Genomic DNA, 17,834 nt, shown 5'->3' on the forward strand with positions numbered 1-17,834 from the left:
TATGAACAAGGTAGACCCTGGGGCTCAGAGGTCAGAGCCAGCCAGGGATTGCAGATGGGTTTGTAATGGCAGGGGCCAGGGGAGCTGGGTGAGATGGACTGTGCCTTTGTACTTGCTGACCCTTCGCTTGAGATGCTGTTCCTCCTCCACATCCTTCTAGCCTCAGAGGGCCTGTCCCCTCCTCAGTGCATCCTTCTTGGGAAGCCCACCTCCTCATCTGTCTGTCACTGTGCTCTGTTCATTTCTTCTGAAGTGCTAACCACAATCCACAGTGACTGAAAGGCAGAGAAGGAAGGAAACCAACACTTCTTGAATACCTACTAGGTGCCAGGCGCTGTGATCTTCAACTGACACACATTATTTAATTAATCTTCTCAACACTCCTGGGGTGCCAGAATTATTATCGTCATTTTGCAGACTACAATAGAGGTCCCAAGAGGGCACATATCTTTGCCCAAGGTCACCAGCCGGAAACAGGAATGGAACTAGAATCAGGGCTAGCTGCCACTCCACACCCGCGGCACTTTCATGGCAACGGGAGAGGCCAGGTAGGCAAGAGAGGAAGTAGAGTGACTCATTTTCCGCCCCAGGCATTTTCAGCAACAAGTAAGTGATTTCCCTAATTCTGGTCTGCTATTAATACTTGGCAGCTAAGAACTAAGTTGCAGAAAAACAGGTTTTCTTCCTAACTCAGCAGCACCACCTGCAGCATCTAAGGGAACACTGCAAAAATGATCAGCAGTGGGAACTCTGGTCTTTGCTGGAGCCCCAAGAGGGTATCATGAAGGAAGAACCTGAGGCATCATCCAGTCACTTTTCATCTTTAAAAGGAGCAAATTGAGACCAAGAAAGGAACTTACTTCAAGTCACAAAGTTAGTGATGGCATATTTGAAGCTGTATCCCTCCTGACTCCTAGTTCAGTACCCCTTCTCCTCACTCTCCCTTTCATCTTTCTTTCTTCTTCTTCTTCCTCCTTCCCTTCTCCTCCTCCCCCACCTTCCTTCCTCCTCCTCCTCTTCTCTCTCATTTATTCACTCAGCAAACATTAATTGGGCGCTTAATAGATCTTGAGCATATTCCTCTTTGTGGGATATAAATATGGATAGCTAACATTTTCTTTTCATGTTATTGCCTGGATTAATTGACACCTCCAATGTACTTCATAATTACAACTAAGATGCATTGAGTGTGACTGTGTGCCAGGCACCATGCTAAGGCTTTATCTCAGTTACCCTCACAGATGAGGACACTAAGGCTTAGGGAGGTCTAGGAACATGCCCAGTATGGCTCAATTAGTTGTAAAGCTGGGATTAAAACCCAGATCCTTCTGACTCCAGGGCCAGAGATCTTAACTGTTATGTTATATTTACTCTTTAAAGTATCTAAGGTTAATTCAAGAAGTATCCATACTCTAAAAGAATTTTGCTCCTATTTAAAATAACGACTTTTTTTTTTTTTTTTTTTTTTTTTTTTTTTTTTGAGACAGAGTCTTGCTCTGTCGCCCAGGCTGGAGTGCAGTGGATCTTGGCTCAACCTCTGCCTCCTGGGTTCAAGCGATTCTCCTGCCTCAGCCTCCCGAGTAGCTGGGATTATAGCATGTGCCACCACACCTGGCTAATTTTTGTATTTTTAGTAGAGACAGGGTTTCACCATGTTGCCCAGGCTGCTCTTGAACTCCCGACCTCCGGTGATCCTCCCACCTCAGCCTCCCAAGTGCTGGGATTACAGGCGTGAGCCACTGTGCCCGGCCTAAAATAACTACTTATTTCTTGTCTTAGAGTGGTGCTGATTCTCTTGTCCAATTAATTGCTTCTTAAATCCCTAGGAGTTTATGTTAAGGTTTATCTAGGTACCAGGCACTGTGCTACGTGCCAGGGACACTGCCAGTGACTATAGGTCAGTTAGGAGTCCATGGCCTTGCAGGTGTCAGTTGTGATACAAGGCAAGCCACAGAACACACCCTGATGGAAGCACCGTACAACTCCAGGGAGCCCAGTCACAATACAGCTGGTGGAAATGGCACCTCCTGACTTGTGCAGTGCACTGACTGTGCGACTGTATATGGTGTACCTGATCAAATAGGATGGGAGCATGGGTCAGGGGCAAGGAGGCAAGGGATAAGAACAAACTCTTCTGCCTCTGCAGGGCAGGGAGGCTTTACAGCAAAGGGCACTGGAGTGTGAATGCTGCCAAAGCTGTAAAAACCTTAATTTCCTGTTCTCTTCACCTGGGAGATAGTTGTCAAGGTTTGAGGAAATACGTCTCTGTGTTTTGACCTGCAAGGCAGGAAATGTATTTGTTTCCATTTCTTGCATTAGCTACTAAGTTGCATTTCTTTTACATTCCCAGGTATCTTACTCTCATTCTCATTTTTGGGTAGATGGGTAGTTTCTCTTTCTAGTGTAGTTGGTTCATGAAATTAGAGCTTAACAACTGTAGGAGGGTGTCCAAAACCAGAAGATCAAGCGTGGGCAACCTTGCAGCCATTTAGGGAATTCTCTGCCAGAACCAGAGGGAAATTGACGGCAGCCCAGAGAGGGGAGCGCCCATCTCGTGACCATCTCTGCCATTGAAGATGGCACCATGTGGAGGTGTTTCCTCAGTACATGCTCAGCTCTCTTGGTTCTTCCTAAATATCCTCATTAACCAAGAAGACTGCTTTTGCATGTGTGAAAATTTTACCTTCTTTAACTTACAGCAGAAAACAAAAGGGATTGTTTTCATTTCCCAAATATAAAATTATCGTATAATGACTATTACCATTCCCCATAACGCAGCCTGAAGATGGTAATTCAGACCTTTCTGGGCAGGGTGTGGTACTGAGTGACAATCTCAGGATTGGATTGTGTCAGTCACTAGAAGGATGCCGAGGGCACAAAGATGTAAAGAGCAAAACCAACACCAGCAACAATAATGAGAAAACAGCAATGAGAGACCTCTTCCAGGCCTCCAGGAGCTCCAGGCCCCTTCGTTGCTGCCTTTGCAACCACAGACTGCCCTTTTGAGACAACCACTGTGGGAAAGGATGTGGGGATGGAGAAGTACCCTGTCACCAGTTGGATGGCAAGGTGCTCTGCCCCTTCATGTCAGAGCAGGGGAAACCTTGGCCAGCAAGGTGGAGGGAGGAGAGATGGGGCAGATCATTCTCTCTTCTGGTCTGCCCTAGGAGAAAGATGCTGATCAGCCTTTTGATTTCTTTTTTCTTTCTTTCTTTCTTTCTTTCTTTCTTTCTTTCTTTCTTTCTTTCTTTCTTTCTTTCTTTCTTTCTTTCTTTCTTCTTTCTCTCTCTCTCTCTCTCTTTCTTTTCTTTTTTTCTTTCTTTCTTTCTTTTTTTTTTTTTTGAGACCGAGTCTCGCTGTCTCCCAAGCTGGAGTGCAGTGGCGCGATCTCGACTCACTGCAAGCTCTGCCTCCCGGGTTCACGCCATTCTCCTGCCTCAGCCTCCTGAGTAGCTGGGACTACAGGCGCCCGCCACCACGCCTGGCTAATTTTTTGTATTTTTAGTAGAGACGGGGTTTCACTGTGTTAGCCAGGATGGTCTTGATCTCCTCACCTCGTGATCCGCCTGCCTCGGCCTCTCAAAATGCTGGGATTACAGGCGTGAGCCACCGCGCCCGGCCTTGATTTCTTATTGATTTGAAGCACTAAGGTTCTTTCCTTTTCCATGTAGTGTGCTCGATAGGTATTTGATAGCTAGTGTGGGACCACAATCGGCCCAGAAAACCTTGTTTTCATGGAAAAATGAATTTTGAAATCCAAATAATTGCCCTAGAAATCAACTAGTGGAACACATCCATTTGGTGAGTTGAAGAGCCTCTGCTTTTTATGATTGTAAAGTTAATGTTGTGAAAACAGCTATGAACTGGGAAGCTGATGCCCGGGTTCCAGACTGCCCGGAGCCAGCTGTGTCATTGTTTTGGGCAAGTCACATCATTTTCCTCTTTGAACTCTCACCTATAGAACCAGGACTTGGACCAGATGAACTCCATGCTCCTTTGGGCTCTGCCTTTGGGACCTTGGGTGTCTTTGTTGGGTTATTTTCATTTCCAGCACTTCGTTGCATTTCTTGCTAAATAGAATGCTTCTTTGGACCAGGACTTGTGGGCTCCAGATGCATTTGTCATTCTTGTGTCACCTGGTTTCTGACGGGGTCCAGCCAGAGGGAGGCACTGGCAGAAGACCAAAGGGGATCAGGAAAGGAGAGACCAGGGTGTTTCTCCTCCCCTCTGCCTTCAGAGGTGTCTCTGGCAGAGAATTTGCATTTCTTCCTTGGTTCTAGCTCCTGCTCCGGTTCCAGTTTCTTACAGGGTAAGCCTAAGCCTTGGGTTGCTGCGATCCTGCCTCTTCCTGTTGTTCCGCCAGCTTACGGGTGATAGTGGCTTCCTGCTATTATTCATCTCTGAACTGAAAGACACTATTTTCTAGTTGTCTTTCCAGCTCTTCACCTAGGTAACCCATTCTCTATATTAATTTCCCCTGGTTTCAAATACCTAGAGTGGTTTCTGTTTACTTAGTTGGACTTTGACTGGGGCATTTAAACTTTTATTGGTTTTACCTTGTAACAGCCGACAATAAAGATGATGATAATGTTGATGATTATAACTCCTCGCTTGGTGTACAACCTCACATATTACAGAGCTTTCACTCAGGTTCTGTAATTTGAGGCTGCTAATAACTGCATGATGTAAGAAGGGCATTTATCATTAATTCCTCTTTACAGAAGAGGAAATGATTTCACTCAGCTCACACAGCTGGTGGGTCTTGATAGACTTGGAACCAGAACCCAAGGCTTTTGATTCCTCATCTGTTTTTCTTCTCCAGGTTGTCCCTTTAATTTCCATCATTACCCCACCCTTCCCACTGGAATAGTGCCTTAATGTTGTTCCTTCAGGATGGTGTTTTCCACAGTGTGGCATAAACTGTAAGTCAAGGATGTATTAGTTATCTATTGCTGTGTAACAAATACCACAACACTGAGCTGTTTAAAGTAGCATCATTGCTATGTTGGAAACGTTCCACAATGCACTGGTGCTTTCTTCTGCCTCCTGTGCTCAGGGCTGATTGTGCACCCAGAAATTGAGGAGTGAGCTCAGCCTGAGAGGGCATTGAGGTTGCATTTCAGAGCAGTTTGGCTGTGGTGTGATGAGGAGGAGGTGGTTGGCTGGTGTTTGCACTGTGCAGCACTGAATAAGCAGGCTTCTGCCCCAGCAAACCCTGTTTAAAAAAAAAAAAAAGCAGCCTCCAGTTGTGGGGCCAGGCCAAGGGGGTAAACATAAGCTCATTTATATTATAGTCTTTAGATCGGAAAAACCACGGTATTTCTCTCTTTCCGCATTTCGCACTGAATGTCAGTGTGCAGCAATAGATAACTAATACATCCTTGACTTACGGTTTATGCCACACTGTGGAAAACACCATCCTGAAGGAACAGCATTAAGGCACTATTCCAGTGGGAAGGGTGGGGTAATGATGGAAATTAAAGGGACAACCTGGAGAAGAAAACTAGATGAGGAATCAAAAGCCTTGGGTTCTGGTTCCAAGTCTATCAAGACCCACCAGCTGTGTGAGCCGAGTGAAATCATTTCCTCTTCTGTAAAGAGGAATTAATGATAAATGCCCTTCTTACATCACACTCTGGAAGGCTAGGCGGAACCCTGTACTGTGGTCTTACAATATTGTTAGGAAGAGAATATTTCATATTCTTAAGTCCCTGGGGACCCTAGACTTTGAGGAGGATCAGGGTCACAATATCCATTACACCTTTTATTTTATTGATTGTCAATACATATTTGTATTTGCTTTATGTTTACCTTGTGTCAGTCTCTTGTCTTACTGTCTGGGATCCCCTGCCAAGGGTCTCATCTTAGTTATTTCTGGAAGTCCCAGGGAACAGCTCATGTGTCCATGTGAACTCCATCCCCCTGTCTCTCATGTAGTATTTACTCTTCTGTTTCCCAGCTCCAGCTTTCTGCTCTGATGTCTGCACTCAAGCTTTGGAGGCTCTTGCCAAGGTTGGTGTGGCTGGTGTCTGCACTGGGGATCCCACATTCATCCAGTGTCACCTTGTGATCCATCCTGACCCGATGCCTCTGTCTTTTTGCATCTTGTTTACTTACATTTGCCCCAAAGCAGGGCCACGCTGCCTCCCAGTAACTCAAGGAGATTTTAATAAAAAGTAATTCTTTTTTTTTTTTTTTTTTCTGTTTCAGCATTCACCCTCACAGGTTCTGGAACAAGCTCCAAGGCAGAGGTAAAGAAGCGTATCTGGACACGTCTGAGCCGTTGCACTCAACTTGTCCCTCTACTTTCCATGATTGCTCCACTTACTACACTGGAATAGTGTCCCACTGGAACATGGTCCCTTTAGGATGGTGTTCTCTAAAGTGTGGGGCACTGACCATTGGTCGAGGCTGTATTAGTTATCTATTGCCATGTAACAAATTACCCCAACACTTAGCAGCTTAAAACAGCATCATTTAGTGTCTCACAGTTTTTAAGGTCAGCAATCCAGGAGAGGCTTAACTGGGTCTCTGGGCTCTGGGTCTTTCCCAAAGCTGTGGTCATGGCAAGGCTGCATAGGGCAGGGGCTGCTTCCCAGCATCCTGGGGTTGGTGGGGGTAGGACTCAGTTTCTTGCCGGCTGTTGTGCCGAGGGTCTCTGTGCCTCAGGAGCTACTGGCTAGAAGATTTCCTCAGTTTCTTTCCACATGGATCTCTCCATAGAGTATCTCCCAATATGGCGCTGGCTTTGTTGTAATGAACAAGTGATAGGGCGAGGCAGAAGGCAAACAAGACACAAGTCACAGTCTTTTATAACCTATTCTTCAAGTGATGTATCATCCCTTGTGCCAAAATCTATTGATTAGAAACTAGTAACTAGGTCCAGCTCACACTCTGAAGCAGGTTACACAAGGCTGTGAATAACAAGGGGCCAGGAATCATTGGGGATCATCTTAGAGGCTGCTTACCACAGGTGGCTGGGGTGGGGGTGAAATGAATTTTGATGTTAAGCAAATTATGATTAAAACATTTAGTCAGGTTGGGCGTGGTGGCTCACACCTGTGATCCCAGCACTTTGGGAGGCTGAGGCAAGAGGGTCACTTGAGACCAGGAGTTCAAGATAAGCCTGGGCAACATGGTGAGACCCTGTCTCCACATAAAGTAAAAAAAAAAAAAAATTAGCCAGGCTTGGTGGCATGCACCAGTAGTCCCAGCCACTTGGGAGGCTGAGGCCGGAGGATTGTTTGAGCCTGAGAGATCAAGGCTGCAGTGAGCCATGATCGCACCACTGCACTCCAGCCTGAGCAGTAGAGCAAGACCCTATCTCAACAAACAAAAACAAAAACAAAAAAATAAAACATTTAGTCATTAGCCACTTTATTTTAAAGTGTACTAGGAAAAGTGTAGGTTATTGTTTTTGTTAAAGAAGAGGGTAAATTTTAAAAAAGGAGTTAATTAAAAGTATTAAGTACAGGTGGTTTTCAAATGCAGAACATATCATACATGTTGTAAAATGTGAAAAAATCAACAAAGTTTGGGTAACTTTTCCTTAGAATGCATTTCTTCCCAGGAGGCTTAATGACTTATGCAAATAGATTCTTATAGGTCCACCCTATAGGTCTTCCAGGCAAACTTTAAGGGATTTGAAAACTAGGATAAATACAGTTTAAACTGTCCTCCAACAGAAGTACACAGTTGCATATGAAAAAACATGGCACATCTTCCTAAGCTTTGTTTCCATTTGAAGACATGAAGAGTTAAACTATCTGACCAGTAAATATTAAATAAATTCTTATATAAAAACATGTTGGGATACATTATAGAATAAATGCAAATGCAAATGTCACAAGAATTTCTAAGGTAAAAATATGTGACTGCAAAGAAATTGTATAGTTGGTGGTGGTGAGCTGTATTTGTGCCTTCTAGTGGTGGAATGGGAGGGTATGAGATGAGGGTATTCTGGCAGAGAATGTGACAGTTGCTAAAGTTAAGGCAGAGACTCTTATTGTGGCACCTACTTCAAGGTGGCCTCTATGATCCTTACCTCCCGGTGTTCATGCTGTTGTATAATCTCCTTCTGTCGATTGCCTGAGGAACTGTGACTTGCTCCTAGCCCACAGAATATGGCAAGGGGGATGGAATGTCACTCTTGTGATTGAGTTATGTTATATCAGATTCTGTATCAGAGACTCTCCTTGTGGGCTGGATGAAACAAGCAACCATGTTGGGGAGGCCTGCATGATGGGGAACTGTGGGGGCCTCTAGGACCTGAGGACGGCTTCTAGCCAACAGTCAGAAAAAAGCCAGGACCCTCACTAAGAGAGCCACAAGGAAATGAATTCTGCCAACAACCTGAATGAGCTTGGAAGTTGATTTTTCCCCAGTTAAGTTTCCAGATGAGGATGCAGCCTGCCCGATACTTGAGCCATAGCCAGATGAGACCCTAATTGGAAAACCCACTTAAGCCATGCGAAACTCCTAACCCGCAGAAATTGTGAGAAAATAAATGACTGTTGTTTTAAACTTCTACGTTTGTGGCAATGTGTTACACGGCAATAGAAAAAAAAAAAAATCGAAAACCAAAAAGAAAATACATCCACTATAAGGCACATGTGAAAATTTAAAAAACACTCAAGATACAGCACATTAGGTGAAATAATTTTGTTTAAAAATTGTCTTTGGGCTGGGCGTGGTGGCTCATGTCTGTAATCCTAGCACTTTGGGAGGCTGAGGCGGGCAGATCACCTGAGGTCAGGAGTTCGAAACCAACCTGGCCAACATGATGAAACCCATCTCTACTAAAAATACAAAAAAATTAGCCAGACGTGGTGGCAGGTGCCTGTAGTCTCAGCTACTTAGGAGGCTGAGACAGGAGAATCACTTGAACCTGGGAGGTGGAGGTTGCAGTGACCAAAGATTGCGCTGCTGCACTCCAGCCTGGGCAACAATGAGACTCCGTCTAAAACAACAACAACAACAACAGCAACAACCAAAACAACAAAACTGTTTTTATAGATTCCAAATACTTACACATTTTTCAGGACAAAACTCCCAAAGTTAAATTTAAAAAGTCTTAGTGGAAAATAGGCTTACTGGAGCCCTCTTAGCCAGTGTTTTAAACATGTAACATCTGCAGAGCTAAGTAAAGGGCACCCTTTTTGATGGAGATGAGGTGTACATCTAGGATGAGAAGGACACTCATTGAATAAGTTATTGAGAACATGCCTTGCCTCAGGTAAGCAAATATTTTCTGAGGATCATGCAGGAAAAAAATTACAGAGTACTCTGATCTATTTTTTGCCTTTAAGTTTGGGAGCTGGAAGGAAAAGGATCAAAGAGTATAGTAGTAAGTTGACATTGAATGAACCAATGAACAGCTCCATCTTGGCCCTGAGGAGTCTAATTAATTGGTTTTGGAGAGCTTCACACTAGCTGGCTATGGGCTCTTGTAGGACTCACTTCATATTTATGGCTGGGGATAATATGAGGTGAGTGAGGCACTAACTTTGGGTGCTAAATTTAAGGGATGCTGAAAACCTCAGTAATCAAGATAAATTAAATTTTAAAGCAATGATTTAAAATTCAAAATCACTGCCAAAAGATGATGAACAAATTGTCAAACTTTTAAATAAAGACTGGCTCTAGCCTTGGATTTGTACAACCTGACTTCATTGGTCTCATCGTAATCCTGGCCCCTAACAGGCAATAAAGCCCTTGGAAAACCCAGGAATAAGGTGGAAGTCTTCAATACCTGGGAGATTATGGGAACGCAGGAGTTTGGGGTGTGATTGGAAAAAGTCCTGGAAGATTTCAGTGGTAGTTGTTCTGTTGAGAGAGAGCACTACGCTCTGTTGAGAGAGAGCACTACAAGCAAGAGGTTTCATGCTTGTCAGTTTTGTTCCATATTGTATTTCAGTGCCAATGTCTATTTAATATAGTTGTATTAGTTAAATTATTTATGCCGTTTTTAAAGAAAGGCTATTTTTATTGAATTATTTTTATTTTTATTTTTTTGGTTTGGGCTTTCCCAAAAGCAGATCCCAGACAAGGACTTGGGTGCCAGCAGTTAATTTGGAGGTGATACTAGGAGGCTCTGGTAGGGGAGTGAGGAAGGGAGTCAAGGAAGGCAGGAGGCCGCCAGTAAAGGGTGCATGACTGAGTAGCTGCTGCTGCACTCATCTGAGACTCAACTGTGCTGAGAACTCCATTGAGAAACAGAATGGGACATATCTCAGAATTGTCCACTTGGGGCTGAGGCCACTAGGGCATTTATCTACTAATGCTTGTCCTTTATTAGTTGGAAGCATTATCTCCCTGGTCTGCCCTGAGAGAGGGCCAAGTGCATTCCTGTGGCAGATAAAGACCACAGTCCAAGAGATGTAGGAACTTAGAGTAAGAAGGTGGAGGAGTATACAGGAGCTGTCACCCAACTGCAGGTGACCTGTGGGATGTGCTAATGGGATGAGCACAGAACAGTGATGTGCATGTAGTGCAGCCATAATATTCAAAAAGAATAACAGCCTATAATAGGACATGCCTCTTCAAGCACATTGGATGACCAGGGCTCATTTGGAGGGATGGTCTTCCAGGTCAGGAGACACTGTGCAACTCAAGGATGCTGTTGGAGTCACAACCAAAGAAGTATATGTCATCTTGCAACTGGGAACTAGCCTTTGGCCTTTCTTTGTTGGCTACCTTTAGTTGGTTGGATGCTGGACCTGTTGATGACCAGACAGCAGTGACAAGACTAAGAAGGCCCAAGGCAGGGCTCCAGAGGAGATTCTGAAGCCATCACAAGCTAGACCCATCTCTGAGACTCTTAGAGTCTTCCTATAACAAGTATCCTTTGCACTAAGGGTAATTACCTCCTCTGTAAAACATGGCAGGTGGTTGAGATTAAGAGTAAAAATAAATTTCCTTGGCCTGGAAGGGAGGGAACTGGTTAAATATTAAGATTTGACTTAATTCCTTAGTAGCCAGACTGTGAACAGAAAGAAAACATAGAATTACATTTTGTACTTGGGTCACTTGTATAATCAGTGTGATTAATAATTGCTAATGTTTTTTATTGATGACTACATGTTAGGCACTGTACCATATACTTTACATTCCAGACCTCACTGAATCCTTCCAACAACACAGTAAGAGAGGTAGCCTACATATTTCCAATTCACATATGTGGGATCTGAGACTCAGAGAGGTTAAGTAACTTGCAAATGTCCTGGGAATAGTGAGGGGTAGAACAGCCATTTGAAGCCAGGCACAACTCTACGAACCTGGGGAAAAGTTCCATAAGATGACTGCTACAATTGTGTATGCCTTCTGAAATGCTTTGCCTATAGGTGGGCCAAGGGGTGAACTGCATTGTGATTTTTAAGTTGAGGTCTTTGGTTTCATAAAATGGCTAATGTGAGAAGACTGTCAAGACATTTGATGTTGCAGAAAGCTGATGCCAAGTCTCTGGGTGTGTGTGGAAGTATCCGTGTGTGTCAAGTGGTTGAGATAGCCCCTGCAGACCACCTCGTGCCCTAACATTCCAAATGCGGCTCAGACTTCCCAAGAACAGGCCATCTTCTGTGGGATGGGAGCTCTGGAGCAACGATGTCCTGTGAGTCAGGTGACTGATATGCTTATTTTTGGGTCCCACCCTTTGCTGGCTGTTTGACTTCAGGCAAGGGACTTAGTCACCAGGGAACCTACTTTTCTCATCTGTAAAATGATGATAATGAGGCCCGACTCCTACCTTCCTCACAGGGAGGGCAGGAAGCTTCCTGAGATCACCTCACCAGAGCCTTTTGATCTGCTTGAAAGAATCCTCCTTAATTGCCCAGTCAGGCACTCCAGCGGCTGGGCGAAAGTTTTATGACCCAGGATTCCCACAGCCCGTAATACACACGCTCCCAGAAGCCCTCTTAGGTTTTCAATGACAGATTCAGCTGCCGAACATTCTGCCAGGCCATCACCAGAGATTTCTCAAAGCCTTAGTCATATAATAGGCGGTTTCCCAGGGGTGCTTTTGCCAGTGCTTCCACTGATTCATGTCGATTCCTTTAGAGCTCCTATGAACAGTTTCCCAGCCCTTCCCAGACTGGTCCACAGCAGTCAAGTCTGGCCTCATGGAATGCTGCCAGTCTTCAGGTCACAACCAAGATGTACTTTTGAACATCTGCTTTCGGTTTTTTAAAGGGTTCTTTAAATGAGTAGTGTGCTTGCTTTCCCATTTCTTGTCTGCACCGTCACGAAAGCCTTCTAACATATTTGTCTGTCTCCAGCCTTGCTCTCTCCCTATGTTCGTGCATTGCAACCTGATAAGCAGGATATATTTCTTCCTCAAACTCATCGTGGAGTCCCCTCCTTGTCCGCAGAATGAAAATCAAACACATTAAATCCAAAGTCCTGCTCCTTTGCCCCCAACTCCCAACTCAAAATCTGGACCCAAGTTTCCTCTCTTCCCTCATGTCTCACCTCTTCCCATTGTTAGGTCATTTATTCAGTCAATCTTTGCTGTCACCTCCTATATTGCAGGTGCTGCATTAAACTCTGGGGAAAAAAATCATGTGCCCCAACCCCCATGAGGCTCCCAGCATTGTGGGAGATGCAGGCCATAAGTGAGCAAGCACAGGCAGCTTGATCAGTGTGGTGCTGAATGTGGAGGGGCTCTAATAGCCCACTGGAGGGGAGGCTGCATCTGCCTGGGGCGAGGGCGAGATGTCCAGCACTTAAGGATGAATAAATAGGATGTTGCCTGACAATGAGTCAGGGGTGGGAGTGGGGAGTGGAAAACATGGCCCGAGCGTCCCAGCAAGAAGGACTTAGATGTGAGAGACAGTATGAGGAGTTGTGAACTGACACAACGGTGGCAATTTATGGCTTGGGAAGAAGCCCAGTTCCTGAATGCCCTGGTGAGCCTTGTTAAGAGATCTGGACTTTATCCTGAAAGAAAAGAAACCATAAGCCGGGTGGTGATGTGGTCCCCACCCTCCCGACTTGGCAACCTGTCAGGTGCTCTTGGACTCCCAGGTCTCTGCCAGGGCTGGTCTTTCTTTGTTCTTCCTTATTCCCCCTCTCCCTTTCCTCCTCCTACTGTGGCACCATCTTTCATGAGTCCATTCAAATGCCATCTGTTTTTTGAAGACCTCCTGGATCCCAGGGTCAAATGAATTATTCCTGTGGGCACCTGGAGTTCATTGCTTGTACGTTACCATTTATCACATTCTACTTTGTATTTTATGGTACTTGTACCTGTTCATCTCGCCAACTGGACTGAAAACTCCTTAAAGGGCATATTTATTCTGGAATATTTATCTCTACACTTCCCACAGCACCATAGCATATGGTGCTTTGAGCCAGGCCTCCCTTCAAGCTCTGGGTTCCATTGCTTATTAGTTCTGTGATCTTGGACAAGTCACTTTATCTCTGAGACCTTGAGTTGCCTCATCTATAAAATGGGGGCAATGTTTTTTATTGCATAGGTTAATTGGAGGATTAAGTAAAGTACCTTGTTAACACTCAATAAACATTAGCTGCTGTCCTCCTCCTTCTGGTTTCTGGCTCAGGAAGATTGCCGCAACACCTTGGGAGAGCATCCCTGAGGGAGGGAAGCCTCACTTTTCCCATGGGCCCAGAGGGAGTGCTGGGTGCATGAGCAAGATCCCGTCTGCACTTGCTTGCTGAGTGCCCAGGGAGAGAGGTGGAATATAAGCGCTATTGTGTAGAGTCTTGGTTATCACAACAGTTGTTGCCACCCATTCTAATCTGATCATTTCTTTGACGTCTTCTATGTGACATTTCCTTAATGTGAACAAAAAGAGAATGTTGAGGTGATTTTCAAGAAACAAATTAAATAATATGAGTCTCCTTGTCTAGGATTATGACTTAAATCATGGTGCCCTCCCAGGGGGAAGAGAAAATAGTGATCTGCCAATCAGTCTTTCCCTTTTCTACTTGGTTGTTGGTCAGCCCATGTATAGAATCTGTACCGTGAGATTACAAGGGTCTTTGTCATGGTGTGGTTGTCATTGTCATTACTAGTAGCAGCAGCAGCAGCCTTCTATTCTTCCTCCTCCTCCTTCTCACTGCCATTTGGGTGGGATGCAGGATGGATACCCTCTTCCTCACCTCCCCTGCCATTCTCTAGAGACCCAATCTGCACGTGTGGCCTCATAGGTCACTGTACTTTTTTGACACACACAGCAGCCCCAGCAGGCAGGCAGAGCAACCGCTCTCATCTGAATTGCCAAGGAAACTGTGGCACAGAAAGTCAATGACTCGCTCACATCACAGCACAAGCTGGAAGTTGAGTGGGGCATGTACAGGGCTGGGGTGGAGACCCTGGTTACCTGAAACCTGAAGAGGGTGATTTGAAAGAGAGAACAGCCTTGTTTCTCGGCAGCTGGCTCTGGTTTTCTGTTGATAGGACATCACCATGATGTCTGAGCAATTTTTTAAGTCCCAGTGGGAGTCAGTTCCTATTTCTGCCAATTTCTGGTTCTGTGTGCCTGAAACATATCAATGCTGGCTGCATAAATAAATATCGAGGGAGCAGAGGAAGAATGATAAGGAGATAAGGTTCACCTTTGGGTTTATGGGGCTGGTGTGATTTCTGGAATATTCCACAAATGCACCTTGCTTTCCTTCTTTGGCTCACAGAGGTGTGAAATTGCTTGTGCCTATTTGTCCTCTATGGGAAGTGCTAGGGACAGGCCTCCTTTCTCACTCTACTGCTGTACTCATCATATTTCCTCATGGGAAGAGCAGAAATATTGGTGTACTGGGGAGGCTGGAAGGACTGATGATCTCTAGTTCACCTTGGTCTATTAAGCGGAGTTAATATTTTAAGACTTCATGTCTCTTTTTTCCTTCTGGACCCGCCTGGAATCTGACCTGGTTCCTTGCACTTTCACTTTTCATGATTTAATGCCCTCTCTCTCTCTGATGATGTTGTAGGAAAATTTTTGGCCAAAGAACAGAAGTGATTCATGTTTTGCCAGCCTCTTAATTAACTAAAGCCAAAAAATTGTAATCAGGTAGGGTGTGAAAGGTTTAGAAATCCAAGAATACCACCAAATAAATTTTCCAACATGGCTCTTTTTATCGTCTACTCAAGATAATACTGAAATACAATCGGGTGTTAGTGGCCTTGCCTTCACATATCTCTGCTGGAGAAATTTCTTTCCTGGGATAGTGTCAAGCAATTCTGAACAGTGACGATCCTTCCCCTCTTCTATTCCTGCCCACTCCCACCCTTATTGGAGGAAGACAGAGAGGTCCCTTCATGGTTCAGTTCCTGGAACATAAGCTCGTCACTGCTTGCCTGGGGACAAGGTGACCTGCCCCCTTCTTTTACACTTGAGCTAAGTGGCAAAAGTGACATTCAATTGCTATTTCTTCTTCTCATTTGGGGCCCTGGGAGCTCGGTCTCCTCTAACCTCTAATAGATTTATTACAAAGTAGCAAATGTGGAAAAGATCTCATGATTTACAGCAAGATATAAAGGCCCTGAAGAACGCTTTGTCTTCCATTTCCTACTCTTTGTTGTAACATCCATAAATTGTCTCTTGGGAAAGCAGGAGCCTAGCCTTGGGTTCCGTGTTCTCCTATTTTTCTCAAGGGAAGGATGGAATGTCGCATGGCAGGCAGCCAAGATGCTCGGCCTTCCAGGCAGGAACTTTAAGGCAGGATGCCTGTGGGGTGGGAGGCCGCTCAGTCTCCAGCACCTTGACCTGTGCGGGCTGTTGTGTGGGTGGGCTCTCTCTGGAGGTAGGAGGTGCCGGAGCTTGAGGTCCTTAAGCCCAGCTGCACTCTATATTCACCCAAATGGCATGAAACACAATCCCTGGAGGTGGGCCGAGGCATTAGGAGTTTTTTTTTTTAAAAAGCTCCCCAGTGATTCTAATATACAATATGTACCATTGTCCCAAGGCAATTTCCAGTTCTAAAGATTATTATAAAACATTTTTACTAAAGTGAATATTTTTCTCTTTACAGACAGTTCTTTTCATCCATTATCTAGTGGCAGTTAAGTACATAGTGGGAGAATTACCTAGTACCTAGTGAAAGAAGAAGGGGTGAGCAATGGCACTCCCAGCTCCAGTGCTTTCTAAGAGCATGGCGTCTATAGACCTTCACCCTTCAACTTTCAAGCAGTTCCTCAAGGTGGATGCTGCCATTTAAATAAGATTCAACTGAGGAAACTATAGCTTAGACAAGTTTAGGGACATGCTTAAGGTTCATACGATAGATCGATGGTGGAGCCAGGATTTGAATGCAGGCTTTCTTGGCCCTAAAGCCCAATTTCCTTGCTTTCTACCTGTGAATAGCACTCCGCTGGATCTTTCTTCTCTCTTTCAACCTTCATGGTAGCAGTTTAGAGCCCCTCCTTCTCTGAGGCCTCCAGACAACAGGATCTGCTATAATCATATCCTCCAGATTGTCCTGGCAACCCCAGTGGCCAAGAATTCTTTCTTCTTGACCCAAAGGATCCCTCTATATTCCTAAAATTCTCTAATGTGAGCATCCAAATGAATCCCTCCCTCTCCAAAATGGCATAATATTTCGATCTGATCTGTATCTCGATTTTCAGCTTGGAAGAAACAGTCACCGTAAGCATAGCTCACATAGAACCTTCCCTTCTCCACACATTCCCATCCCCCAAAAGCCTGGGCCCGTCAGGAGCAAGAAACACCAAACTGTGGTCACTTTGCAGCACTTTCTTACTATTCCTCCCAGTTTGTCCTGTTCTCTTCAGCTGGGTGATAGCTGTCCTGAGGCTGGCATGGTGGCCTAGGAGGAAATGTAACAAGACCTCCTGGTCTCCATTAAAAGTCAATTGTAAAAAAAACTGTATGAGAAGATGGGCTTAGCAGAGGCACCTGTGATATATACTTAGAATTTGATTCACAGGAAACTCTGTTTGCATCAACAGTAGGATCTGACCTCCCGCCTCCAAGCATACCTGATGTGGCCCTGTGGTGTATTCCTGAAAGTGGAACTGGAAGGGGGTTAGTGCTGTTCTCCTGCAAGTCAGGCCCATCTGGGCCTGGTGAGTTTTAGGCAGTGACTTGGAGAAGGGTCTACACAAACCGGAAGGTGTTAAGCAGATGTCAGTTGGCATGATGCGGGAATTTGACGCGTTATATGAAAACAAAACCAAAAACCAAAAAGTTTGCATAACTTGGAGTGGATATGGGAAAGAGAGATAACTTTATTCTTTAAGGTCCCAAGGGCTACTAATTATGTATTAGTTGGGCTAGGCTAAGCTGTGGTGCAGTAATAAGCCACAAGCATTTCAGCAGTTTCACCCAATAATAGTTTACCTCTCATTGTGCTGAAGTGCAGTGAAGATTGAGTTCTCTTTAATTTTGTAGTGACATTATGTGGAACATGTAGCCTCTGGGGCTGCTGCGGCAGGGGGAGAAATGGGGGGAAGAGGCATATTAGCTTCAAGTTGCCTCAGACTGGATGTGGTGAATGTCACTGCCACTCACAATCCATCAGAACTGGATCACCTGGTCCCAGTATAACTGCAAGGGAACAGGTGGTCAGTTTCCAGCAGAGTCATGGAAGTGCAGAGTCGTGGATGAATATATTTGGTGAGCACTAGCCCAGTCATGAACTGGGATCCTTAGTAGTTCTCCATGGTATTGGAATAAAATCCAGGTTCTTTGTCATGTGCCTTTCCACATTGCTGCATGGCCTCTACTTTTCTCAGCTGTAGTCTTACCTAGTCTCTTACTCCTCTTCCCCTCATTCAACCTGAAAGTGACACTTCAATGCCTCTAATTGAGGCATCACTTGTGCCTGGCATGCTCCTCCCTATTCTCTCTTACCCACAC

General features: G+C 44.9%; 1 long non-coding RNA gene across 1 annotated transcript in view, besides 2 other annotated features; it reads left to right on the top strand.

The window, feature by feature from the left end:
- Window positions 1–17,834, top strand: part of LINC02964 (long intergenic non-protein coding RNA 2964) — a 160,228-nt gene that overhangs the window by 124,116 nt on the left and 18,278 nt on the right. The window contains exon 6 of the long non-coding RNA XR_001746072.2: window positions 6,211–6,251. This is a non-coding gene — a long non-coding RNA (long intergenic non-protein coding RNA 2964). The remainder of the gene's footprint in view (window positions 1–6,210; window positions 6,252–17,834) is intronic.
- Window positions 325–514: an enhancer, noted in NCBI's record as "active region_27927". NCBI's record gives its function as "activates an Ori minimal core promoter by ATAC-STARR-seq in GM12878 lymphoblastoid cells {active_cell/tissue: GM12878}" and the evidence as "EXISTENCE:reporter gene assay evidence [ECO:0000049][PMID:35858748]".
- Window positions 11,079–12,278: an enhancer, noted in NCBI's record as "P300/CBP strongly-dependent group 1 enhancer chr8:126667345-126668544 (GRCh37/hg19 assembly coordinates)". NCBI's record gives its function as "activates an origin of replication core promoter dependent on BRD2, BRD4, P300/CBP, MED14 and CDK7 cofactors, with strong dependence on P300/CBP, by STARR-seq in HCT116 cells {active_cell/tissue: HCT116}" and the evidence as "EXISTENCE:reporter gene assay evidence [ECO:0000049][PMID:35650434]".

The sequence above is a fragment of the Homo sapiens genome, chromosome 8, assembly GCF_000001405.40.
Source record: "Homo sapiens chromosome 8, GRCh38.p14 Primary Assembly".
NCBI classification, from domain to species: domain Eukaryota; kingdom Metazoa; phylum Chordata; class Mammalia; order Primates; family Hominidae; genus Homo; species Homo sapiens.